Source organism: Homo sapiens, chromosome X (genome assembly GCF_000001405.40).
Source record: "Homo sapiens chromosome X, GRCh38.p14 Primary Assembly".
NCBI lineage: Eukaryota > Metazoa > Chordata > Mammalia > Primates > Hominidae > Homo > Homo sapiens.
In genome coordinates, this window is record NC_000023.11 from 154,862,440 (window position 1) to 154,890,014 (window position 27,575).

Consider the following 27,575-nt stretch of genomic DNA (forward strand, 5'->3'; position numbering starts at 1 on the left):
GTAGGTTTGTTGCATGGGTAAATTGCATGTCACTGAGGCTTGGTGTATGAATGATCCCCTCACTCAGGTAGTGAGTGCAGTACACAATACATAACCTTCTAACCCACACCCCCCTCCCAACCTCTCCCCTCCTGAGTGTCCATCATTGTGTCCATGTGCATTTAATGTTTAGCTCCCACTTATGAGAACACATGATATTTGGTTTTCTGTTCCTGCATTAGTTCATTTATGATAATGGCCTCTAGCTGCATCTATGTTGCTGAAAAGGACATGATCTCATTCTTTTTTATGGCTGCATAGTATTCCATGGTATGTATGTACCACATTTTCTTTATCCAATCTGTTGTTGATGGGCATTTAGGTTGACTCCATGCCTTTGCTATTGTGAATAGTGCTGAAATGAACATATGCGTGCATGTGTCTTTATGACAGAATGATTTATATTCCTTTGATTATATACCCAGTGATGGGACTGCTGGGTTGAATGGTATTTCTGGGTTTGCCCAGGACTATGCTGGTTTTAGCACTGACAATTTTGTGTCCTGATACCGGGAACCCCTCCCCCAGTCTCAGGATAACTAGAACAGTTAGTCACCCTACCCATGGTTGAGGGAAGAAGGATATGGGATGACTTGGCACTTACTATTTAAATCACAGCCCATCAACTCCATGCGAAGAGTGCTGCGAATGCTATAATGAGTTGGGTGCAAACGGATGTATCGAGCAATAATTGGAGGGTTAAAAATATTGTGTTTTATCCCAGATGAATCCACATTGCCAAAGAAGACCTGTATGGAGAGATTAGCACAAATACATGGAAAGTGAATACAGAGTAAAAAGCAATTTCTGTCAATCATATCTTCCTTCTAATTTGCTTTGTGCGTTTCTCAACAGCATCCAACATCTACATAAGACAACTATGGTTAGATGGATGTTACGATGGTAGACACAAAGGAGGAAAGCACCAAGAAGAAGTGGGAACAAAGGAAATTATTAGGTCTGGGGCAAGTGAAGTTATTTTCTACTTTGAGTTCCTGTAAAAGGCTCATAAAAGTTGAGGAAGCCATTTGGGCTCTGCTACTCCAGCATGGTCCACAGACCAGGAGTAGCAGCATCACCTGAGGGCAATTCAAAATGCAGCATCAGGAGAACGGTATCAGTGAGTTGATGGGATAGGAGGTCCCTAGCTCTTGTTCCCCCACAGGAACAATAATTTGACAATGATCTATGGACAAAAGTGTCTTTGTGGGAGCCTTGGGATTCAGGTAGGAGGTTGAGAAACCCTGGTAGAGCTCAAGAACAAAGATGAATACTTTAATAAGGCAGGCCCACATTCTAGCGGCAGGCCTGTCAACTGTAGTTCTGGTTGTGGACCCAGAAGCAGCCCACCACCCTGGGGACTTAGCTCCAGAGTTGTTTGTATGTGGTCCTACCACTATCCCTATCTGCCCAGGAATCTGGGAGGAGCAACTCCCATTGGCAACCCCAGTAACAGGGCTCCCAACTGTGGACTCTGAAGCAGCCCTGTACCTAAAGCAGCTTCAGTACCACACTACCATGGTCTTGGGGAAGTTTTGCCTACTTAGGAAACAGGTGGGAGTCATGCCAGTCCACCTCTGGAAGCAGGCCCACCAACTAGACCTGACTGTGGACTCAGAAGTAACCCTGTGAGCCAACTCCAGTCTTGCTGTACCATGTTCTGGAGACAGTCCTGCCTGAATCCACACTTACCTGTGCCCCCATAACAGGCCCACTGACTGTGGGCCCAAGTGGGGACCCTGAAGCAGCCCTTTGACCCAGCTCCAGGCCCACTGCATCATGGTCTGCAGGCAGTCCTGCCCACTCAAGGACCCAGTGAGAGCTACACCTATCCAAAGCCCTGGTAATGGGCCCATTGTCTGAGTACCCAACTTCAGACCAGAAGAGGTGTCAGCTCACTCCAATGCACAGATACCAATGCTAGGCTATGTGGATCATGAAGAATCAGGCAAATATGACATCACCAAAGGGAACTAATAAAGCTCCAGTAACCAACCCTGAAGAAATGGAGATTCATGAAATTTTTGACAAAGAATTCAAAATAATCATTTAAAGAAGCTCAATTAGCTACAAGAGGATACAGGAAGACGACTAACAAAATGAGGAAAACAATACATGAACAACATTAGAAGTTTAATAAAGAAATAAAAACCATAAAAAAGAACCAAATAAAAATCCTGTAGCTAAAGAATATTGCTGAATATAGCTGAAGAATGACTGAACTAAAAAATTTAATAGCGATCTTTAATAGCAGACTCAATCATTCAGAAGAAAGAATTTGTAAACTTGAAGACAAGTCATTTGAAATTATCTAGTTAGCGGAATAAAAAGAACAATGAGAAAGAGTGAAGGAAGAACAGAGGACTTATGGGACATCATCAAGCAAAATGATAGATGCATTATAGAAATCTTAAAAGGAGAAGAGAGAGAGAAAGGAAACTTATTTAAAGAAATAATAGGTGAGAACTCCCCAAATCTATGGAGGGGAAGTGCCATCTGGATTCATTAAGCCCAAAGATAACCAAATACATTAAACCCACAGAAGTCTACAGTGAGATGCATTATAATTAAATTTTCAACAAAGACAAAAGAGAATTTTGGGGTAGTAAGAAGAAAGTGAATTGTCACCTATAGGGGAGCTCCATAAGACTATGAGTGGATATCTCAGCAGAAACCTTGCAGGTCAGGAAAGAGTGGGATGATATATTCAAAGTACTGAGAGAAAAAAATCCAATCAACAATACTTTATCTGGAAAAACTGTCCTTTAAGAATGAACACAAAGATAAAGCCTTTCTCAAACAAAAACTGAGGGGGTTTGTCACCATGAGACCTGCCTTATAAGAAGTGCTAATAGTTCTTCAAGTTGAAATAAAAAAAAAACAGTAACACAAAAGCATATGAATCCTTTCACTGCTAAAGGTAAATATAAAGAGAAACATAGACTATTGTAACACTATAATGATTGTTATAAATCACTATTAATATTAATTTATAAATTAAAAGACAAAAATAGTAATAGTAACTATAGTGACAGAAATTTGTCAATGGAAACACAATATAGAAGGAAGTAAAATATGACGTCGATTACATAAAGTTGTGGCGGGGGGAATGAGTAAAGTATAGAGTTTCTGTATGTGATTGAAGGTGTTGTCAGCTTAAAACAGACTGCCATAACTATAAAGTGTTCAATTTGATCCCTGTGGTAACCCCCCCGACCGCCCCCCCACACAGTAGATATACAGAAGATAAAGAGAAAAGAATCAAAACACATCCAAGCAAAAATCATCAAACCACAAAGAAAGAAAAAGAGGAAAGGAACAAGAAAACTACAAAACAGAAAACTATTAACAGAATGGCAACAGAAAGTCCTAACCTATCAATAATTACTTTAAGTGTAAATTGACTAAACTCCCCAGTCAAAAGACACAGAGTAACTGAATGGGCTTTTTAAAAAGCCAACAATTCAGAGATGGGAAGTAAGAAACAAAAATAAACAGGACCCAACTACATGTTGTTGATAACAGACTCACTTTTGATTTAAGGACATACATAGGCTGAAAGTGAAGGGGTGGAGAAAGTTATGCCATGCAAACTGTAACCAAAAGAGAGCAGGGGTGGCTATACTTGTATGAGAAAAAATAGTCTTTAAGTAAAAAACTGTGACATGAGACATAGAAGGTCATTATATAATAAAAGGGTCACTTGAACAGGAAGATGTAATAATTATAAATATATATGTACCCAACACGAAAGTACCTAAATATATAAAGCAAACATTGACAGACATGGAAGGAGAAATAGATAACAATATAATATAGTTGACTTCAATACTCCACTCTCTATAATGAATAGATCATCCCAACAGAAAATCAATAAGGACAAAACAGAACTGAAGAATAAAATAGACCCAATGGACCTAAAATGTATATACAGAACTTTCCACCCAACAGTAGAATTATCAAGCACACACAAAACATTCTTCAGGACAGATCACCTTTCAGGTCACAAAACAAGTCATAATAAATTTAAGAAGATTAATATCATACCAAGTATATTTTCTGACCACAATGGATTGAAACTACAAATCAATAACAATAAGAAAACACGAAAATTCACAAATATGTGGAAACTAAACAACACATTCTTGAACGACCATTGGGTCACAGAAGAAACCAAAATCTTGATAATATACCAAAACTTAAAGGATGCAGTAAAAGCATACTAATAGGGAAATTTATAGCAATAAATGCCTATATTTAAAAAGAAGAAACATATGAAATAAACAACCCAACTTATCACCTCCAGGAACTACAAAAAGAAGAAAAAAAAAACTAAGCCCAAAGGTAGCAGAACAAAGGAGATAATAAATGCTAGAGCAGAAATAAATAAAAAAGAGAATAAAAAAACAATTGGAAATAACTGACAAAACTAAGAGTTGATTTTTTTGAAAAAATAAACAAAATTGACAAGTCCTTATCTAGACTACGAAAAAAAGAGAGAAGACTCATATAAATAAAATATAAATGAAAGAGGAGACACTACAACTGATGTCACAGAAACAGACAGAACCATAAGGGACTATTATAAGTGTCAACAAATTGGTTAACCTAGAGGAAATGGATAAATTCCTAGAAACATATAACATACCAAAACTGAATAACAAAGAAATAGAAAGCCTTAACAGACTAACAACAAATAGGGATATTAAATCTAGTAATCAAAAACCTTCCAACAAAGAAAAGCCCAGGACCAATGGCTTCATGGATGAATTCCATCAAACATTCAACGAAGTATTAATACCAGTATTTCTTAAACTCTTCCAAAAAATACAAGAGAGAACACTTCAAAATACAATTTATTAGCCAACATCACCCTGATACCATATCCAGGCAAAAACAACACTAGAAAAGAAAACTACAGGCCAGGCCAGGTGTGGTGGCTCAAGCCTGTAATCCCAACACTTTGGGAGGCTGAAGCAGGCAAATCACTTGAGGTCAGGAATTCGAGACCAGCCTGGCCAACAAGGTGAAAACTCATCTCTACTAAAAAAATACAAAAATTAGCTGGGTGTGATGGCATGTTCCAGTAGTCCCAGCTACTCAGGAGGCTGAGGCAGGAGAATCGCTTGAATCCAGGAGGTGGAGGTTGTAGTGAGCCAAGATCATACCACCACTGCACTCCAGCCTGGGTGACAGAGCAAGACTCTGTCTCAAAAAAAAAAAAAAAAAAAAAGAAAGAAAAAGAAAATGAAAAGAAAAGAAAGAAAACTACAGGCCAATATCCCTGATGAACACGGATACAAAAATCCTCAACAAAACACCAGCCAACCAAATTCAACAGCACATTAAAAGGATCATTCATCATGAACAAGTGGTATTTATCCCTAGGATGCAAGGATGGTTCAACATGGGCAAATCAATCAATGTGATATACCACATTATCAGAATGAAAGATGAAAAACACATGATTATTTCGATCAATACAGAAAAAGAATTTGACAAAACTAGATATCCATTCATAATAAAAACTTTCAGCAAGATAGATACAGAAGGAACTTAACACAATAAAGACCATATAGGAAAAGCTCACAGCTGATATCATAACCAAATGTGGAAAAACTGAAGGTTTTTCCTTTTAGATACTGATATGGTTTGGCTCTATGTTCCCACTCAAATCTCACCTTGAATCGTAATCCCCATAATGCCCACATGTCAAGGGAGGGACCTAGTGGGAGGTGATTGGATCATGGGGATGGTTTCCCCCACGCTGTTCTCCTGATAGTGAGTTCTTATGAGAGCTGATGGTTTTATAAGTGTTTGACAGTTCCTCCTTCACACACTCTCTCTTGCCTGCTGCCATGTAAGATGTGCCTATTTCCCTTTCTGCTATGACTGTAGGTTTCCTGAGGAAAGAACATGGGACTTATGGGACAGCCATGCAGAACTGTGAGTCAATTAAACCTCTTAAAGCTTCATAAGTGAAGGAGAAATGAAATTCTTTACAGACAACCGAATGCTGAGGGATTTTGTCACCATCAGACCTGCCTTACAAGAGCTCCTGAAAGAAGCACTAAACATGGAAAGGAACAACTGGTACTAGCCACTGCAAAAACATACCAAATTGTAAAGAACATTGACACTATGAAGAAACTGCATTAACTAATGGGCAAAACAACCAGCTAGCATCATAATGACAGGATCAAATTCACACATAACAATATTAACCTTAAATGTAAATGGGCTAAATACCCCAATTAAAAGACACAGACTGGCAAATTGGATAAAGAGTCAAGACCCATCAGTATGCTGTATTCAGGAGACTCATCTCACTTGCAAAGACACACATAGGCTCAAAATAAAGGGATGGAGGAATATTTACCAAGCAAATGGAAAGCAAAAAAAAAAGCAAGAGTTGCAATCCTAATCTCTGATAAAACAGACTTTAAACCAACAAAGACCAAAAGAGACAAAGAAGAGCATCACATAATGGTAAAGGGAAAAATGCAGCAAGAAGAGCTAACTATCCTAAATACATATGCACCCAATACAGGAGCACCCAGATTCATAAAGCAAGTTCTTAGAGACATACAAAGAGACGTAGACTCCCACACAATAATAGTGGGATACTTTAACACCCCACTGTCAATATTAGATTAATGAGACAGAAAATTAACAAGGATATTCAGGACTTGAACTCAGCTCTGGACCAAGCAGACCTAATAGAGATCTACAGAACTCTCCACCCCAAATCAACAGATTATACATTCTTCTCAGCACCACATTACACTTATTCTAAAACTGATTACATAATTCGAAGTAAAACACTCCTCAGCAAATACAAAAGAATGGAAATCATAACAAACAGTCTCTCAGACCACAGTGCAATCAAATTAGAACTCAGGATTAAGAAACACACTCAAAACCACAAAAATACATGGAAACTGAACAACCTGCTCCTGAATGACTACTGGGTAAATAATGAAATGAAGGCAGATATAAAGATGTTCTTTGAAACCAATGAGAATGAAGACACAGCGTACCAGAATTTCTGGGACACACTTAAAGCAGTGTTTAGAGGGAAATTTACAGCACTAAATGCCCACAAGAGAAAGCAAGAAAAATTGAAAATTGACACCCTAACATCAAAATTAAAGAATTAGAGAAGCAACAGCAAACAAATTCAAAAGCTAGCAGAAGACAGGAAATAACTAAGATCAGAGCAGAACTGAAGGAGATAGAGACACAAAAAAACCTTCAAAAAATCATTGAATCCAGGAGCTGGTTTTTTTGAAAAAATCAACAAAATAGATAGACTTCTAGCCACACTAATAAAGAGGAAAAGAGAGAAGAATCAAATAGATGCAATAAAAAATGATATTGGGGATATCACCACTGATCCCACAGAAATACAAACTACCATCAGAGAATACTATAAACACGTCTATGCAGATAAACTAGAAAATCTAGAAGAAATAGATAAATTCCTGGACACATACACCCTCCCAAGTCTAAGCCAGGAAGAAGTTGAATCCCTGAATAGACCTATAACAAGTTCTGAAATTGAGGCAGTAATTAATAGCCTACCAACCAAAAAAAGTACAGGACCAGACGGATTCACAGACAAATTCTACCAGAGGCACAAAGAGGAGCTGGTACCATTCCTTCTGAAACTATTCCAAACAATAGAAAAAGAGGGAATCCTCCCTAACTCATTTTATGAAGCCAGCATCATCCTGATACCAAAACCTGACAGAGACACAACAAAAAAAGAAAATTTCAGGCCAATATCCCTGATGAACATCGATACAAAAATCCTCAATAAAACACTGGCAAACCAAATCCAGCAGCACATCAAAAAGCTTATCTACCACAATCAAGTTGGCTTCATCCCTGGGATGCAAGGCTGGTTCAACATATGCAAATCAATAAACATAATCCATCACATAAACAGAACCAATGACAAAAACCACATGATTATCTCAATAGATGCAGAAAAGGCCTTCGATAAAATTCAACACCCCTTCATGCTAAAAACTCTCAATAAACTATGTATCGGTGGAACATATCTCAAAATAATAAGAGCTATTTATGACAAACGCACAGCCAATATCATACTGAATGGGCAAAAACTGGAAGCATTCCCTTTGAAAACTGGCACAAGACAGGGATGCCCTCTCTCACCACTCCTATTCAACATAGTATTGGAAGTTCTGGCCAGGGCAATCAGGCAAGAGAAAGCAATAAAGGGTATTCAAATAGGAAAAGAGGAAGTCAAATTGTCTCTCTTTGCAGATGACATGATTGTATATTTAGAAAACCCCATCATCTCAGCCCAAAACCTCCTTAAGCTGATAAGCAACTTCAGTAAAGTCTCAGGGTACAAAATCAATGTACAAAAATCACAAGCATTCCTATACACCAATAACAGACAAACAGAGAGCCAAATCATGAGTGAACTCCCATTCACAATTGCTACTAAGAAAATAAAATACCTACGAATACAACTTATAAGAGATGTGAAGGACCTCTTCAAGGAAAACTATAAACCACTGATCAAGGAAATAAGAGAGGACACAAACAAATGGAAAAACATTCCATGCTCATGGATAGGAAGAATCATTATCATGAAAATGGCCATACTGCCCAAAGTAATTTATAGATTCAATGCCATCTCCATCAAGCTACCACTGACTTTCTTCACAGAATTGGAAAACACTACTTTAAACTTCATATGGAACCAACAAAGAGCCCTCATAGCCAAGACAATCCTGGACAAGAAGGACAAAGCTGGAGGCATCATGCTACCTGACTTGAAACTATACTACAAGGCTACAGTAACCAAAACAGCATGGTACTGGGGCCAAACAGATATGCAGACCAATGGAACAGAATGGAGGCCTCAGAAATAACACCACACAGTTACAACCATATGATCTTTGACAAACCTGACACAAACAAGCAATGGGGAAAAGATTCCCTATTTAATAAATGGTGTTGGGAAAACTGGCTAGCCATATGCAGAAAACTGAAACTGGATCCCTTCCTTACACCTTTTACAAAAATCAACTCAAGATGGATCAAATACTTAAACGTAAGACCTAGGACCATAAAAATCCTAGAAGAAAACCTGGGCAATACCATTCAGGAGATAGGCATGGGCAAAGACTTCATGTCTAAAACACCAAAAGCAATGGCAACAAAAGCCAAAATTGACAAAGGAGATCTAATTAAACTAAAGAGCTTCTGCACAGCAAAAGAAACTATCATCAGGGTGAGCAGGCAACCTACAGGATGGGAGAAAATTTTTGCAATCTATCCATCTGAGAAAGGGCTAATATCCAGAATCTACAAAGAACTTAAACAAATTTACAAGAAAAAAACAAACAACCCCATCAAAAAATGGGCAAAGGATATGAACAGACACTTCTCAAAAGAAGACATTTATGCAGCCAACAGACATTTGAAAAAATGCTGATCATCACTGGTCATTAAAGAAATGCAAATCAAAACCACAATGAGATACCAACTCACGCCAGTTAGAACGGTGATCATTAAAAAGTCAGGAAACAACAGATGCTGGAGAGGTTGTGGAAAAATAGGAACGCTTTTACACTGTTGATGGGAGTGTAAATTAATTCAACCATTGTGGAAGACAGTATGGCGATTCCTCAAGGATCTAGAACTAGAAATACCATTTGACCCAGCAAATCCCACTACTGGGCATATACCCAAAGGATTATAAATCATTCTACAATAAAGACACATGCACATGTATGTTTACTGTGGCACTATTCACAATAGCGAAGACTTGGAACCAACCCAAATGTCCATCAATGATAGACTGGATTAAGAAAATGTAGCACATATACACCATGGAATACTATACAGCCATAAAAAAGGATGAGTTCCTGTCCTTTGCAGGGACATGGATGAAGCTGGAAACCATCATTCTCAAAAACTATCACAAGATCAGAAAACCAAACACTGCATGTTCTCACTCATAAGTGGGAGCTGAACAATGAGAACACATGGAAACAGGGAGTGGAACATCACACGCTGGGGCCTGTTGGGGGGTGGGGGGCTAGGGGAGGGATAACATTAGGAGAAATACCTAATGTAGGTGACGGGTTGATGGGTGCAGCAAACCACCAGGGCACGTGTATACCTATGTAACAAAACTGCATGTTCTGCTCATGTAACCCAGAACTTAAAATATAATTTAAAAAATAAATAAAATAAAAAGCATCCAAATAGAAGAGAATAGTAAAATTATCTCTTTTTGCAGATGACATGATCATACATGTAGAAAACTCTAAAGACTCAAAAAAAAATTGTTAGAACTAATACATGAATTCTGTAAAGTTGCAGGATACAAAATCAACATACAGAAATCAGTGGTGTTTCTATACACTATAAAATATCCCAAAGGAAATTAGAAAATAATCTTATTTACAATAGCAACAAAAGAATAAAATACTTAGGAATAGACTTAACCAAAGAAATGAAAGACTTGTACAATGAAAATATAGAAAACATTTATGAAGGAAATTAAAGAAGACACAGATAAATAAAAGATATTCCATATTCCTAGATTGGAAGAATTAGTATTGTTAAAATGTCCACACTACCCAAAGTAATCTATAGATTTGATGTGATCCCTATCAAAATCTCAATGGTGTTCTTCACAGAAATAAAAAAAAAATTTTAATTAATATGAAATCACAAAAGACCCCAAGGAGGCAAAGCAATCTTTTTTTTTTTTTTTTGAGACAGAGTCTTGCTCTGTTGCCCAGGCTGGAGTGCAGTGGTGCGATCTTGGCTCACTACAACCTCTGCCTCCCAGGTTTAAGTGATTCTCCACCTCAGCCTCCAGATTAGCTGGGATCACAGGGGCCTGCTACCACACCTGGCTAATTTTTGTATTTTTTCAGTAGAGACGGGGTTTCACCATGTTGGCCAGGCTGCTCTTAAACTTCTGACCTCAAGTGATCCACCCACCTCAGCCTCCCAAAGTGCTGGGATTACAGGCGTGGGCCACCACATGCAGCCTGGCAAAGCAATCTTAAGCAAGAAGAACAAAGCTAGAGGCATCATACTTCCTGATTTCAAAATATACTACAAGTCTCCAGTAATCAAAATAGTATGGTACTGGCATAAAAATAGACACATCAACCAAGGGAACAGAATAGAAAAGCCCAGAAATAAGTTCACACATTTACAGTCAACAGATTTTTGACAAGGGTGCCAAGAACACACAACGGGGAAAAGAGAGTCTCTTCAATAAATGATATTGGGAAAACTGAATATCCACATGCAGAAGAAAGAAATTGGGCCCTTTTCTCACACTATACATAAAATTCAACTCAAAATTGATTAAACACTTGTATATAAGACCTGAAACTATAAAACTCCTAGAAGAAAACAGGAAAAAAGCTACCTGATATTGATTTGGGCAATAATTTTTTTATATGACACCAAAAGCACAGGCAACAAAAACAAAAATAGAAACTGGGATTGCATTAAACTAAAAACTTTCTGCACAGCAAAAGAAATAATCAACAGAGTGAAAAGACAACCTATGGAATGGATGAAAATATTTGCAAACTGTATATCTGATAATGGGTAAGAAACTCAAACAACTCATTAGTAAGAAACAACCCAATTAAAAATGGGCAAAGAACCCAAATAGAATTTTTCAAAAGAAGAAATATAAAAGGCCAACAGATAAATGATGCTCAGCATCACTAACCCACAGGGAAATGCAAATCAAAACACAATGAGATATTCCCTCACATCTATTAGAATAGTGTCTTAGTCTGTTATGGACTATAACTTATTATGGACTCTAATTTATTATGCTGCTATGACAGAATACCACAGACTGAGTAATTTGTAGTGAACAGAAATGTATTTGGCTCACAGTTCTGGAGGCTGGGCAGTCCAAGATCAAGAGGCCAGCATCTGGCAAAGGCCTTCTTTCTATATCATAACATGGCAGAAGGGCAAAAAGAGGGCAAGAGAGAGCAATTCAAATTCACAGCCTTAGGTGCTTTTGTAATCGGCATTAATCCATTCATGAGGGTGGAGTCCTCATAACCTAAACATCTCCCATTCGGCCCTACCTCCCAACACTGTCGCATTGGGAATTAAGTTTCCAACACATGTTTTTTGGGGAAAACACTCAAACCATAGCAAATAGCTATTATCAAAAAGACAAAAGATGACAAATGTTGGTGGTAATGTGGAGAAAAGGAAACCTTTGTACACTGTTGCTGCAAAAATAAATTGGTACAGCCATTATGAAAAACAGCATAGAGGTTCCTCAAAAAAACTAAAAATGAATACCATGTGATCTGGCAATCTCACTTCTGTTATATATCCAAAGGATACAAAATCAGTATGTTGAATATCTGCACTCCCATGTTCACTGTAACAGTATTCACAATAGTCAAGATATGGAAACAACCTAAGTGTGTCCATTGATGGATGGAGGGATAAAGACAATCTGATATATATATATCTGATGGAATATTCCCACAATTATAAAATATTATTTGGCCTTAAAATAGAAGAAAATCCTCCCACTTGTGATAACATGGATGAACCTGGAAAATATTATGCTAAGTGTAATAAGCCAGACACTGAAAGAAAAATACTTCATGACCTCATATGTGGAATCTAAGATGGTCAAACTCATAAAAGCAGACAGTAGAATCTTAGGTGCTAGGGACTGTGGTGTGGGGGAAACAGGGAGATGTTGATCAAAGGGTACAAAATTTCAATTATGCAAGATAAATTAGTTCTGGAGATCTAATGTACGATATAGTAACTATAGTAAACAATATTGTATACTTGAAATTTGCTAAAAGAGTAGGTCATAAATGTTCTCACCACAAAAAAAGGTAGCTAGGCAAAGAGATAGATATATCTTAATTAGCTTGCTTGTGGTGACCATTTCACAATGTATCAAACATCATATATGAAAAACAAAATATATCAAAACATCAAGTTGTACCTCTTAAATATATGCAACTTTTGTCAATTATACCTAAATAAAGATTTTTTAAAAGAGATGCAGTTCCTTGGGCACCATGTCAGTTCTACTGAATCAGAATCTAAATTTTAATAAGACCCTTAGCTGTTTCATAAGCAGTAAAGTTTGAAAACACTGGCAGAGGACACAGTCAGCTGTGAAAGAGTACTGGGAATGCACAGCCTATCCTCCACCCTGGTCTCAGAATGATCTTCTAAGAATGTAGTGTGTGTGTGTGTGTGTGTGTGTGTGTGTGTGTGTGTAGAGAGAGAGAGAGTCTATAATGTGGGCATTAATGAATGATCCCACTGTATGAATTAATGAGACACGTTAGTATCCAAAACGTGGGATTTGACACCTTGACATGTCTGGGTTCTGGACAAAATTACATAACATATTCAAGAGAAAGGGAATACAGTTTGAGAAATATGGTAGTAATGCCAATTCGAAAGGCCTAGATTTAAACCATGGCATACAGCATAAGAAATACTGAAAATGATATCACTCATAGAACACCTGGGATTTTTTATCTGCTTGAATACACTAAAATAGGTATCAGTGTAAGTCTATTATATGATCACACATCAGTTTAGTATCATGGGAATTTTTTTTTTTTTTTTTTTTTTGAGACGGAGTCTCGCTCTGTCGCCCAGGCTGGAGTGCCGTGGCGCGATCTCGGCTCACTGCAAGCTCCGCCTCCCGGGTTCACGCCATTCTCTTGCCTCAGCCTCCCGAGTAGCTGGGACTACAGGCGCCCACCACCACACCCAGCTAATGTTTTGTATTTTTAGTAGAGACGGTGTTTCACCGTGTTAGCCAGGATGGTCTCAATCTCCTGACCTTGTGATCCGCCCACCTCGGCCTCCCAAAGTGCTGGGATTACAGGCATAAGCCACCGTGCCCGGCTGGAAATTTTAAAAAATTATTCTGCCATGTAGCATTTTTTTCTTCCCAGGGAATAGAAAATATTAATAAATTTGTGGCTTTGTTCCTAAACAAGTTATACCAGAAATCACAATATTCTTTTTTATAAATATATCTGTATTGGGGGGTTAAAATAGAATGAATAACATATTCAAACCATATAACTTTGTTTAAAGATTTACCAAGGATTTTGTTTTCTCTGCTGCTCTCCTTTCTATATAGGAGAAAATTTGACCTTCTATTTATGGCCTTTAGATTTGGCTTTTGCAAGAGCTAGTATAATTAAATCCCAGGTAATAAGTAAACACTCCAAACCACCTCTCTGGGGTGGGATGGTGCAAAATCATTTGTAGAAAGCTACCTGTTTCGTCTAGCTACCTCCTGCGTAAGTGGGTACTGGCAGCTCTTGGGGGCCTGAATTTTATGTCTCATTTTGACTAAAATAATGAATGTGTAGTCTGACTCCAAAAGGGGATAGTCATCTTTGATTTGAGATAGGTCTCGTTATGTTTCCAAATTTCTGATTTAAAAGAAATTTGTTGCTACAGAATAATCATTGAGAAGTAGAAGAAGTTTTGAAATGAAGTATATATCAATGTAAAATGCCATTCCGTTTTATCAGCATCCAAAAAGTTTATGTTGAACTTAAGAGTATTATATAGCTAATAAATGTTGATCATTAACTTGTGACTAAACCGTATGTGCTAGGAAGAATATGATCTCTCAGTGATGTCCACATTTTAATCCCCAGAACATTTGACTGTGTTATGTTGCATGGCAAGAGGGATTTAAGGTTGCAGATGGAATTAAGTTTGCCAATTAGCTGATGTCAAAATAGGGAGAATATCCTGGATTATCCAGGTCGGCCCAATGTAATCACAAGAGGCCTTGAAAGTGAGAGAGAGAGGCAGAAGAGGAGAGTCAAAGGGAGACGTGACTACTTAAGAATAGTCACAAAGGTGCAATGTTACTGGCTTCGAAGATGGAGGAAGGAAGCCATGAGTTAATGAATGTGTGTGGCCTCTAGAAGCTGGAAAAGAAAGGAAAAAGGATCCTTTTCTTTTTCTTTTTTTTTGAGAGGGAGTCTCACTCTGTCGCCCAGGCTGGAGTGCAGTGGCGCCATCTCCGCTCACTGCAAGCTCCGCCTCCCGGGTTCACGCCATTCTCCTGCCTCAGCCTCCCGAGTAGCTGGGACTACAGGCGACCGAAAAAGGATCCTTTTCTAGAGCTTCCAGAAAGAAATGCAGCCCTGATGACACCTTGATTTTAGCCCAGTAAGACTTGGGTCAGTCTTCTGCCCTATCGAACTGTAAGATAATAAACTTGTGTTGTTTTAAGCCATATTAAGTTTGTGGTAATTTGCCACCCCAGCATTAGAAAACTAATACCCTGTATACATTGGCTTTGCCTTCATTCGTTACTCAATCTTTGTGCCTTGATTAGAAACCTGCTTGGGGAGACAATTTATTAATTCAACAAATAGTTAATGACTGACTATACAAATCCTAGATTCCATATATTATGTGCCAGGCATTGTGCTAGAAGGCCTCACTGGTAAATTCTACTAAATGTTTAAGGAAGGATTAACATTAATCCTTCTTAAACTCTTCCAAGAGACAGAAAAGGAGAGTAAACTTTACAACTCATACTATGAGGCCACCATATCTTGATATCAAAGCCAGACAAATATATCACAAGAAAAGAAAATTACAAATTGCATGTAATTGAATATGTGAGTATAATATTCCCTTATGCATCTAGGTGCAAAAATCTTCAACAAAATATTAGCAAACCAAATCCAGCAGCATGTTATAAAGGTTATAGCCCATGCTCAAGTGGAAATTATCCCAATAATGCAAGACTGGTTCAACATAAGACAATCAATCCCCCAGTCAACTCCACATTAATAAAATATAGGGAAAAAAACCCCTGCAAGTTCATTCTGGTTGATGCAGAAAAATCACTTGATAAAGCTGAGCACCTTTTCATGACCAAAAAAAAAAAAAAAAAAAAAAACCACTAAGCAAACTAGAAATGGAAGAGAAAATCCACAACATGATAAAGAGCATTCATAAAATACCCAAAACTAACATCACACTCAATGGTAGAAGACTGAAAGATATTTCCCTAACATTAGAAACGAGACAAGAATGCCTGCTTTTACTGCTTCTATTCAAAATTGTATTGGAAGTCTTAGCCAGAGCAATTAGGAAAAAAAGAAATAAAAGGCATCCAAATTGAAAAGGAATAAGTAAAGCTATCTTATTCTCAGATGAACATGAGCTTATGTATGGAAAACCCCGAAGAATCCACAAAACACTATAGAGCTAATAAACGAATTCAGCAAAGTTGCAAGATATAAGATCAACGTGCAAAAATCAGTTGTATTTCTACACACTAGCAATGAACAATCTGAGATGAAATTAACAAAATAAAAAATAATTCTATTTAAAATAGCATCAAAAAGAATAAAATACTTAGGAATAAATTCAGCTAAGGAGGTAAAAGACTTGTACACTGAAAACTACAAAACATTGCTGAAAGATATTAGAGACAGCATAAAGAAGTGAAAATATATCCTGTGTTCATGAATTGGAAGACAATATTATTAAGATGATAGTACTACCCAAAGTGATCTACAGATTTAATACAATCTGCATCAAAATCCCAATGGCCATTTTTTTTTTGGCAGAAATGGAAAAGCCAATCTTAAAATTCATGTGTAATTGTGCAAGACCTCAAATAGCCAAAATAATCCTAAAAAATAACAAAGCTGGATAACTCACATTTCCCAAATTCAAAACTTCGTATAAAGCTACAGTTATCAATGCTTTGTGGTACTGGCATAAGGACAGACATATATATAAATGGAATAGAATTAAGAAGCAAGAAATAAACCCATAAATATATTCATGGGTATGTACCTCAAATATGGATGGTTCCCAGCTTATAATGGTTGGACTTACAATATTTTGACTTTATGATGGTATGAAAGCAACATGCATTCAGTAGAATCCATATGCATAAAAGTACTTAAAGTACACATACAACCATTCTGCCTTTCACTTTCAGTGCAATATTGAATAAATTACGTGAGATAGTCAACACTTCATTATAAATTTGGCTTTACGTTATATGATTTTGCCCAACTGTAGCCTAATTGTAAGTGTTCTGAGCATGTTTAAGGTAGGCCTGGCTAAATTATGATGATTGGTAGGTTAGCCGCTGATATGGTTTGGCTCTGTATCCCCACCCAAATCTCACATCGAATTGTAATCCCCGTGTGTCAGAGGAGAGGCCTGGTGGGAGGTGATTGGATCATGGGGGTGGATTTCCCCTTGCTGTTCTTGAGACAGTGAGTGAGTTCTCATGAGATCTGATGGTTTAAAAGTGTATGACATTTCCGTCCTTCACTCTCTGTCTCTCCTGCTCCACCATGGTAAGGCGTGCTTGCTTCCCCTTTACCTGCTGCTGGGACTGTAAGTTTCCTGAGGCCTCACAGTCATGCTTCCTGTTAAGCCTGCAGAACTGTGAGTCCATTAAACCTCTTTTCTTCATAAATTACCAAGTCTCAGGTAGTTCTTTATAGCAGTGTGAGAATGGACTAATATAGCTGTATTAAATGAATTTACACTAATAATGGTTTTAACTAACAATGGGTTTATCAGGATATAATACCATCCCAAGTTGAGGAGCGTCTGCAATTTAAAACATCTGTTCAAACAAACACTTGTACAGGAGCGTTCATGGCAGCACTATTCACACTATCCAATCAGTAATGTAGGGGATCAAATGCCACCTCAAAATATGCCACTTTGGCATATTGATTATTTTGTGTTTAAAGGCACTTGAAAGTAGCAGATGCAAGAAGGGCACACTGACCTTCCTTTTTTTTTCATGAAAGGAAGAGATGAAACTCTGATGTGAAAGGTATTATCTGTATACCAGGAAGAAGAAACACATTCTTATTGCCAGAGATGGGGAGTCCAGGCTTGAGGGAAAGCTGCACCAAAAAACCTTGTTACACAACTCTTACCTTCTTAGTGACTTTTCCACAATTAACTCTCCTAGCCCAAACCCCAATGTCTTGTTATGTTTTCACAATTTACCATACTTTTCCCACCCTAGTATGTAAGTATTCAGCTGTAATTAATCACTTGAGTCTTCGTATTTCTTATGAGGGCTCCCATGTACATGTAAAAAATGCCAAATAAAATTTTGTATGCTTTTCTTTTGTTAATCTATCTTATTTAAGTCCTAGCTGGAGAATCTAAGAGGATAGAGGACAACATTTACCTCCCCTGCCATGGAAATCATTTAATGAACTGTTCATCAACTGATGAGTAGATAAACAAAATGTGGCCTATTTATACAACAGAATATTTCTCGTTGGTGTTGTCTCAATGCTTAACACAGTATACCTGGCACTACCCTTCAATATTTTTTGAAGAATGAGCACATGAATTATCATGTCTCCAGCTAGGTTCACCAGTATGAGTAATATGTAGTGAGTGTCTACTGTGTGCCATTTTACTACCTAAACTTTTTATGGACTCTGTCCCCTAGTCTTATCTACCAATGCCATTGTCTTAGTTGAGATATCTGTCATTTCTTGACTGGTATAATACAGCAGCTTTCTAATTCCAATCTCAGTCCTCTCTGTTCTATTCTCCACACACAATCCTCTCTGTTCTATTCTCCACACAGCTTCCAGGGTGATATTTCTAGAGGCAAATCAGACCACGTCACTCCCAAGCTGAAAGACCACAGTGGGTTCAGTGTAGCCTACAGGGTATTCTAAAACCTGAGCATGGCATAATAGAACCTCCATGTCTTGGCTCCTGCCTACCTCTTTCCCAGCCACATCAACCACTACTGCTCCACTGGCATCGTACTCTCCAGCCTTAATGAATTGGTTGCAACTCCCCTCCTCCCACCGGTGCCTTGGCTTCTCATCATGCTACAGATTCTTTAACACACACATTGTCCTCCAAGAAGCTTGCCAGATCCACTCCTATTCTTTCAACGAAATGTTTATTGACCACTCTTTATACACTATGACCAAATAGGATTTATCCCACAAATGTAAGGTTGGTTCAACATGTGAAAATCAATTTATATAATACACCATATTAACAGAATGCATGGCGGAGCGGGGGCGGGGGAGGGGGCTCATGGTCATCTTAATCATGTACAAAAAGGATCATTTGACAAAACGCAGTACCCTTTCATGAAAATAAATTCAACAAACCAGGAACAGAAAGAAACTTCTTCAACCTGATAGAGGGCATCCATGAAAAACCCAGAGATAATATCATACTTAATGGTGAAAGACTGGTTGATTTCCCCCTAAGATCAGGAATGCCACTTGTAACTCAACATCGTACTCAAAGTTCTAGTCAGGGCAATTAGTCAAGAAAAAGAAATAAAAGGCATCCAGATCGGAAAGGAACAAGTAAAACCATCTCTATTCATAGATGCATAGATGGCATGTTCTTATATAGAGGACACTAAAGAGTCCAACAAAAGAAAAAAAAAAAAAACTGAGACGGTTTGGCTCTGTGTCCCCACCCAAATCTCATGTCGAATTGTAATCCCCACCTGTTGAAGGAAGGGCCTAGTGGGAGGTGATTGAATCATGGGGGCGGACTTCCCCCTTGCTATTCTTCTGATAGAGCGCTCACAAGATCTGATGATTGTTTGAAAATGTGCAGCGCTTCCCCCTTTGCGTGCGTTCTCTCTCTCTTCCTCCTGCTCCAACATGTGAAGAAGGTGCTTGCTTCCCCTTCGCCTTCCGCCATGATTGCACGTTTCCTGAGGCCTGCCCAGAAGCAGAAGCCTTGTACAGCCTGCAGAACCATGAGGCAATTAAACCTCTTTTCTTTAGGAATTACCCATTCTCAGGCAGTTCTTTATAGCAGTGTAGGAACGGACTAATATGCCAACCCTGTCTGAGTATGCTCAGCAAAGCATATTCGGCTCAGCAAAGTTGCAGTATCCAAGATCAATCTGCAACAGTCGGTTGTATTTCTACACCCTAGCAATGAATAACATGAAAATAAGATTAAGGAAATGATTCATTTTACAGTAGCATCGAAACAATAAAATGTCGAGGAATAAATTTAACTAAAGGTGTACAAGATGTATACTCTGAAAATTTCAAGACGTTGCTAAAATAAATTAAAGAAGACCTAAATAAATCGAAAGGCATTTTGTGTTAACGGATTGGGACACTTAATATTGTTAAGATGCCCATAATCTCCAAGGCAATATACAGATTCATCGTGATGCCTGTCAGAATCCAACCTGCCTTCTTTGTAAAAACTGACAAGCTGATCCTAAAATTCATAAGAAAATGTAAGGGGCTCAGATAGCCAAAACAATCTCAGAAAAGAAAAAAGTTGAAGGACTCACACTTCCCAATTTCAAAACGTACTACAAAACCGCAGTAATCCGAAAAGGGTGGTACTGCCATCGTGATCGATACATTAGGTCAATGTTACAGAACTCAGAGTCAGGAATAAACCCATATATTTATGTAAAGTTTATTTTCAGTAAGAGTTCCGGCACCCCTCAATGGGTGGAGGGGAAGAATAATCCCCTCAACAAACTGCGCTGGGACAACTGGATAGCCACATGCAAAAGAAGGCCCCTGGACCCCTACCTCACATCATGTAAAGAATTAATTCAAAATGGATCACAGATCTAAATGTAAGGGCTGAAACTATAAAACTCTAAGAAGAAAACGGAGATGTAACTTTGCACGACCTTGGATTAGGCAACAGCTCCTTCAGTATGACACCAAAGGCAAAGCCACAGATATCTTTTCATTTGGCAAGTTGGACTACATCCAAATGTAAATCTTTTGGGCAACAAAGGGCTCTATCCAGAAAGTGAATGGGAGAAACATTTGCAAGTCACATATCTGATAAGAGTCTATTTTCCAGAATATATGAATAAGTTTTAGAAGCCCACAGCCAAAATACAATCAACCGAATTAAAAAATGGGCAAAGGGCTTGAATAGACATTCCTCCAAAGCAGAGGTACAGAGGGCCAAGAAGCACATGAAAAGATGTCTTAGTCTGTTTTCTGTTGCCATAATTGAATACCCGACACTGAACAATTTATAAAGAAAAGAAATTTATTTCTTACCGTTCTGGGGACTGGGAAGTGACCCGGCATCTGGGGACGGCAGAGGGTATCACACGGCGAGAGGGCAAGAGCGTGTATGTCGTTTCAGGCCTCTCTTCCTATTCTTATAAAGCCACCAGTCGCATCCTGGGGGTCTCACCCCGATGACCTTATCTAATCCTAATTACCGTCTCAGAGGCTGCGCCTCCAATCAACATGTGAATTTGGGGATTAAGTTTCCAAGACACACAATTTGGGGGATGCACTCAAACCACAGCAACATCATTAGCCATTTGGGAAATACGAATGAAAACCACCATGAGATAGCACTTGACACCCAGTAGGATGGCTACTGTAAACAAAACAAAATGAGGCAAACAGAAAACAGGTTTTGATGAGGCTGTGAAGAAATTGGGACTCTCATGCACTACTGTTGGGAATGCGAAAGATTACAGCTGCTGTGGAAATCAGTTTGGTGGTTCCTCAATAAGTTAAACAGAATTACCACACGAGCCAGCAGTTTGACTGCTAGAAATAGACCCAAAAGAACTGAAAAGAGATATTCAAAGAAAAACCTGTAGAGAGATGGTCATGGCAGTGCCACTCACAATAGCCAGAAGGGGGAAATAACCTGTCCATCAACTGACGAGTGGGTAAACAAAATGTGGCCTCCTATTCATACAACAGAATCGTACTCAGTCATTCAAAGGAAGGAAGTAGTGATTCATGCCTCTACATGGATGCACCCTGATGAAACCATTACGCTAAGTGAAAGCAGCCAGACACACACGGCCTCACATTTGGTCGTATAATTCCATCTATAGGAAATCTCCAGAACAGGCTAACCTCTATGGACAGAAAGCAGATGGACTAGGGGTTGCCAGGGACTATCGGGAACGTGTGTATGGGCGGGGGCAGGGGGTGTGTGTGGGAGGGTGTGGGGGCTGGTAGTGGTGGTGTGGAAGGAGGCGTGCGGCAAGTGACTGCTTATAGGTACAGGGGTTTCGGTTTCTTTTCGGGGTGTTGAAAACGTTTTGGAACTAGGTGGTCGTGATGGATGTGCAACATTGTGAAGGCGTGGTACCCGTCCTCCCCTCGCCCACCCCTTTGTCTTTCCCACGGTGTTCCCATCCAGTAGAAAGGGAAAGTTCCCACTGGCAAAGAGAGGGTCACCAGCGCGATTCCCCCTGCCCCGCCCCACCCCACCCCCACGGCCCTCCAGCCACTTCTAGGCCCAGGCCTGCTCCCTCGAGGCCAATGGGAAAGTGATGAGGTCACCTGACGGACGTGTGTCCCTTGTGAGGGGCCGTCACCACATGCGTGCCCGTCGCCGGATGTGCGTGCCCATTGGTCTCGGCTCCCTAGCCAATGAGGGGCTGGGCCCTGGTCGCTAGGATACACAGTACTGGACGCGGTAACTGTCCTCTTGAGAGCCATCTTGCCTAGCTGGGCCAAGCCGAGATAGCACACTCAACGCCCAGCATGCCGAGGAGGAGGAGACGCCGAGGGTCCTCCGGTGCTGGCGGCCGGGGGCGGACCTGCTCTCGCACCGTCCGAGCGGAGCTTTCGTTTTCAGTGAGCCAGGTGGAGCGCAGTCTACGGGAGGGCCACTACGCTCAGCGCCTGAGTCGCACGGCGCCGGTCTACCTCGCTGCGGTTATTGAGTACCTGACGGCCAAGGTCCCGGAGCTGGCGGGCAACGAGGCCCAGAACAGCGGAGAGCGGAACATCACTCCCCTGCTGCTGGACATGGTGGTTCACAACGACAGGCTACTGAGCACCCTTTTCAACACGACCACCATCTCTCAAGTGGCCCCTGGCGAGGACTAGCTTCTGACACCCGGCCCCTGGGACCTGACAGGTCCACTCGTCCACCCACCCGGCCCCAAATCCCCCGGCCTGAACCCCCGGCCTTAAACACCCTCCCCCCACAACCCAGGCCCCAAAGTCTTGGGCCTTCATTAATTCTGTCAATAAAATGTTTCAAGGAAGCCATCTGCCCGCTTCAGTCACTTTGCCTTGGGGTGGGGGTGGGGGGGCGGTGAGATGGGTTGGGGGGTTGTGAGACCTCCACAGCTGGAGGGATGGAGAGGTGGTGGGGGTCTGGGGTTGGGTGGGAGCCAGGGATGGCACAGAGGAGCAGTCTCTCCGGGTGACAGTGCAGGGGAGTGGCCCTGGGTGGGAAGGGGACACCCCCGCTGGTTCTGAGCAAGTCAGGGCCTGCCCGGGAAAGTCCTCAGCATGATGGTGTTCGTTGGGGCGGGTGGGCCTCAAGACCATGACTGCAGTGTTGCGACAGGACGGACTTCTAAGGCAACCGGGGTGGGGACGGAGAGGTGGACCCGGTGCTTGGCAAGGGGCCCTGGACCGGAAGACGGAGGACTGAGTAGTCGGGGCGGGGGGGGGGGGGGACAACAGTCTAGAAATGCGCAGACATGGAATTAGGGTCACGAGTTTCGTTTGGGTCATGTTCAGATGGAGAGGCTGTGGGATGCCTTTAGCAACCTAGACCACTTGCATTGCAGCCGAGCTAGCAGCAGCTGGTGCCCCGCCAGGCCCCGCGTACCTTCCCAGGGTCTTGGATCCGCATCCCCGAGACCCTCGATTTGCATACGCCGCTCACAGCCCGGCCAGGCCCCGCCTCCGATCCCGCTCTTTGCACCTCATCAGGGCAAGGGGCAGGCTCGGGCTGGGGAGCCGGCGCGGGCACGGCGGCAGCCCGCCGAGGGGGACGCAGGGCACGTCGCCCCGCCCCGGCCCGCCCGCCAGCTGCGGCGGCGCGTCGGGAAGTGCTTGGGGCGGCGAGCATGGCGGCAGCGGCTGCAGGCCTGGGCGGCGGCGGCGCCGGCCCGGGACCCGAGGCCGGGGACTTCCTGGCCCGCTACCGGCTGGTATCGAACAAGCTGAAGAAGCGGTTCCTGCGGAAGCCGAACGTGGCGGAGGCCGGCGAGCAGTTCGGACAGCTGGGCCGGGAGCTGCGCGCCCAGGAGTGTCTGCCCTACGCGGCCTGGTGCCAGCTGGCGGTGGCGCGCTGCCAGCAGGCGCTCTTCCACGGGCCCGGGGAGGCGCTGGCCCTCACCGAGGCCGCCCGCCTCTTCCTGCGGCAGGAGCGCGACGCGCGCCAGCGCCTGGTCTGCCCCGCCGCCTACGGGGAGCCGCTGCAGGCCGCCGCCAGCGCCCTGGGCGCCGCGGTGCGTCTGCACCTCGAGCTGGGCCAGCCGGCCGCCGCCGCCGCCCTCTGCCTCGAGCTGGCCGCCGCCCTGCGCGACCTGGGCCAGCCGGCCGCCGCCGCCGGTCACTTCCAGCGCGCCGCCCAGCTCCAGCTGCCCCAGCTGCCCCTGGCCGCGCTGCAGGCGCTTGGCGAGGCCGCCTCCTGCCAGCTGCTGGCGCGCGACTACACCGGCGCCCTGGCGGTCTTCACGCGCATGCAGCGCCTGGCGCGGGAGCACGGCAGCCACCCGGTGCAGTCACTGCCGCCGCCCCCGCCGCCGGCACCCCAGCCCGGGCCCGGGGCGACGCCCGCCCTACCGGCCGCGCTGCTTCCTCCGAACTCCGGCTCGGCGGCGCCCTCTCCCGCCGCCCTGGGCGCCTTCTCGGACGTGCTGGTCCGCTGCGAGGTGTCCCGCGTGCTGCTGCTGCTCCTCCTGCAACCACCGCCCGCCAAGCTGCTGCCGGAGCACGCCCAGACCCTGGAGAAGTACTCCTGGGAGGCTTTTGACAGCCACGGGCAGGAGAGCAGCGGCCAGCTTCCCGAGGAGCTCTTTCTGCTGCTCCAGTCTTTGGTCATGGCTACCCACGAAAAGGACACGGAAGCCATCAAGTCGCTGCAGGTGGAGATGTGGCCACTGTTGACTGCTGAGCAGAACCACCTCCTTCACCTCGTTCTGCAAGAAACCATCTCCCCCTCAGGACAGGGAGTCTGATCCATCCCATTCACCCAGTGACTTCTTTTTGCCCAGGCCTGGACTTTTTGCATCAGTCACGTTAACCAGATGACTTTGCCTGTTACCAAACCTCATGCATCCACGTTTGCGTCTGGGGAGGAATAAAAAGACATCGTTCCCGCTTCTGCGTTTTGTTATTCCTACTGCCGCCATAGGAATTATTTCGTTGGCTGAACGTTACCAGCACCCCGAGAACACATTTTGATAGAATCAGAGTAGAGGACATGGCTGTCTTCTAAAAAGCCACGACATGAAAATGACAATCCCTTTCGTCTCCTTCCTCCGCTGCTTCCACCTAACGCAGCCTCCTGCCTCCGCCTTTGTTTCATAGTGAGGATTTTATTTTGCACGGCGCCCTCCCTCTAAATACCTACCCTAGATGATTTCATCCTGCCCCTCACTTCTTAACATATTCCTGTGTCTTTGTAATGGCCAAATTTCTCCTTCCACTCGTCCGCACGGTACGTCTTCATGGGAGTCATTTTATTCCTTACAGCTTCCTTGTAACCACAGCCCTAAATCCATGATAAAGCTACTCTTGTACTCCTCATGTGTGGTTTTGGTGTCCGTCGTCTATAAAATGTGACTCTCTTACCTACTTGTCAGGAGGCCAGCAGCAGAACCAGATAGCTGTTTGGGCTCCAGGATGTATTCGTTCCTTTGAAATTTGCGCTATGCCTCCTATGTGGGCAACGAACCTGCAGAGATCATCTATGATGTGCTCCGTACTCGGGTGACTGCAATGCAGATACATCCAGTGCAGCGGGTCTGGTGCCGATGCATCGATTTGCATTGGAATTCACGGTTCTGGTTCCATTCGCAGAGGTATATGCAGTCTGGATCACAACAGCTTTTATTTGTAATAGGGATTTTTTTTTTTTTTTTTTTTTTTTTTCCCCCCGAGATGGAGTCTCACTCTGTCGCCCAGGCAGGAGCGCAGTGGCGTGATCTCGGCTCACTGCAACCTCCGCCTCCTGGGTTCAAGCGATTCTCCTACCTCAACCTCCAGGGTGCCTGGGATTACAGGCGTGCACCACCACGCTGGGCTAATTTTTGTATTTTTAATAGAGATGGGGTCTCACCATGTTGGCCAAGCTGGTCTCCAACTCCTGACCTCAAATGATCCACCCTCCTCGGCCTCCCAAAGTGCTGGGATTACAGGCATGAGCCACCACGCCTGGCCTGTAATAGGGATTTTGCTGCAACTTTTAGTTAAGTAGGTGAAATCAGAGTGCGTGGCCCTTTGGTGTTGTGCGATCACGTGACTGCAAGGCAGCCTCCGTGTTCCCCCAAAGCAGGATGGCGTTCCGTTTGAGAACACTTAAGTTTCCAAGGCTTTCTGGCTCAAATGGAGCATGCCCCCCAACTACGCTGTTTTCTTATTTATTGCGTCTTTTTAATCCTTTTGATGGTGACAACAAGAACTCTTCAGAATATAGCCTCTTTCTCAAACTTTCAACCCTGGGGAAATGCATCCTTTGGGCCGAAGTTGCACACAATCCTGATCTTCGGGGCTGAGATGTAAGGACACAGTTTGGAGTAGGTGTTTTTGTTTTGCGTCTTTTTGCAGGGGAGAGGTGTGGAGGGTTGTCACTGTGAGTTGAGTGCCTCCAAATGGGTGGGACTTGTAGGGTGTTCTTTTCTGCTTCTATTTCTATTTCGACAGTGTGGAAGTAATGGGAAGCACAGGAGAGGCCCATTCCACCATCATTCCTCTTTCTCTCACTTGGCTGCCAGGAAGGGTCCTACGGAGCCCTGAACGCCTAGCCCAAATTATTGTAAAAGCGGTTGAAGGGCTCATGCTCCTTTGCTCTTTGGCTCTTTCCTGGTATGCTCCTCTTAACCCGGGCTGCAGACCTGGCCGGCTGGCTTCTTGTCAGGTTCAGGAGTTACGGAGCATGACTGGTGACCAGTTTGGGATTTGGGCTTCAGGAGAAGCCTCCTTAGGCCTCTGGTCCAAACTCCTTGCGTCAGGGAGGTGAGGGGAAGGATAACCAGACGGTCAGGTAGTGGGTATCTGAGCATAATTCTAGGAAACACTAAAACTCCTCGTTTTCCATTTGCCGTGGGCTCATTCATGTATCTCCCTCAGAAGCTTAAGAGCAGTGATAACTGGGCCGAGGCCAGATTTCAGCAGTTTTGAGAATTCCCTCGTAATGTATCACATCAGTATCAAAAGTCAACACTGATTTCTAGCATGCCAAAAGCAAATACTTTCAGAGGACATGATTAGTTTGCTTTTTAACTTGAAAACAATTCCAAATTCACACTTAAAACAGTGTAAACCGTCGGAAATGGTGGCAGCGAAGCAGTGAACCCTTAAAGGCTGTTGGGGTTCCCCTTCTCCCCATTGTGAGGTATTCCCAAAAGGATAAATGTTGCTTATGAAAGAATATTTTATACGTGAATAGTACAAAGACAAAGACGTTTGAGAACCGCTACGCCGGAGGAAGGTGGTCAAGACTGAAATTAGCGTGTTAGGCAAGATCTGGTTCCTAGGTGC

The 27,575-nt window shown here is 42.5% G+C and overlaps 3 protein-coding genes and 1 non-coding gene across 5 annotated transcripts in view, besides 4 other annotated features; 2 read left to right on the top strand and 2 right to left on the bottom strand.

Annotated features, from left to right (window-relative positions):
- The window catches only part of F8 (coagulation factor VIII), a 186,932-nt gene that overhangs the window by 26,648 nt on the left and 132,709 nt on the right, over nt 1-27,575 (bottom strand). The window contains exons 1-2 of one of the 2 annotated variants that reach the window (NM_019863.3): nt 23,695-23,878; nt 644-788 (exon numbers count right to left, since the gene is read on the bottom strand). In NM_019863.3, coding sequence (NP_063916.1) covers nt 644-788; nt 23,695-23,718 — 169 coding nt within the window. In that variant the 5' untranslated portion in view covers nt 23,719-23,878. Of the gene's footprint in view, nt 1-643; nt 789-23,694; nt 23,879-27,575 lie in introns of those variants that run through there. The other variant, NM_000132.4, reaches the window with a different exon arrangement.
- Nucleotides 18,380-27,575: part of a non allelic homologous recombination region, noted in NCBI's record as "int22h-1 recombination region, recombines with either the int22h-2 or int22h-3 recombination regions", that runs on past the window's edge. NCBI's record gives the evidence for it as "EXISTENCE:polymerase chain reaction evidence [ECO:0000082][PMID:9694739]" and "EXISTENCE:restriction fragment detection evidence [ECO:0001124][PMID:8275087, PMID:8528212, PMID:7981669]".
- Nucleotides 21,479-25,890: a meiotic recombination region, noted in NCBI's record as "meiotic double-strand break mapped by DNA meiotic recombinase 1 chromatin immunoprecipitation followed by single-stranded DNA enrichment and sequencing in the germ cells of some male individuals with PRDM9 A/A, PRDM9 A/B and PRDM9 A/C genotypes". NCBI's record gives the evidence for it as "EXISTENCE:chromatin immunoprecipitation-seq evidence [ECO:0000229][PMID:25395542]".
- Nucleotides 22,533-23,119, top strand: H2AB1 (H2A.B variant histone 1). The gene has a single exon (NM_001017990.2). The coding sequence runs from the start codon at nt 22,611-22,613 to the stop codon at nt 22,956-22,958; it is 348 nt and encodes a 115-aa protein (NP_001017990.1). The 5' UTR covers nt 22,533-22,610; the 3' UTR covers nt 22,959-23,119.
- Nucleotides 23,831-23,843: a nucleotide motif, noted in NCBI's record as "nucleotide motif; similarity to the predicted 13-mer PRDM9 A binding motif (LD hotspot motif), CCNCCNTNNCCNC".
- On the top strand, nt 23,916-25,622 carry F8A1 (coagulation factor VIII associated 1). The gene has a single exon (NM_012151.4). It carries the CDS (start codon nt 23,936-23,938, stop codon nt 25,049-25,051), a length of 1,116 nt encoding a protein of 371 aa, NP_036283.2. The 5' UTR covers nt 23,916-23,935; the 3' UTR covers nt 25,052-25,622.
- Nucleotides 24,921-25,019, bottom strand: MIR1184-1 (microRNA 1184-1). The gene has a single exon (NR_036049.1). It is a non-coding gene; the product is annotated as a microRNA 1184-1 (primary transcript).
- Nucleotides 24,997-25,009: a nucleotide motif, noted in NCBI's record as "nucleotide motif; similarity to the predicted 13-mer PRDM9 A binding motif (LD hotspot motif), CCNCCNTNNCCNC".

Bases quoted from the DNA above. Each gene is read 5' to 3' on its own strand.
- H2AB1 (NM_001017990.2), top strand. From the start codon at position 22,611: ATGCCGAGGAGGAGGAGACGCCGAGGGTCCTCCGGTGCTGGCGGCCGG.
- F8A1 (NM_012151.4), top strand. From the start codon at position 23,936: ATGGCGGCAGCGGCTGCAGGCCTGGGCGGCGGCGGCGCCGGCCCGGGA.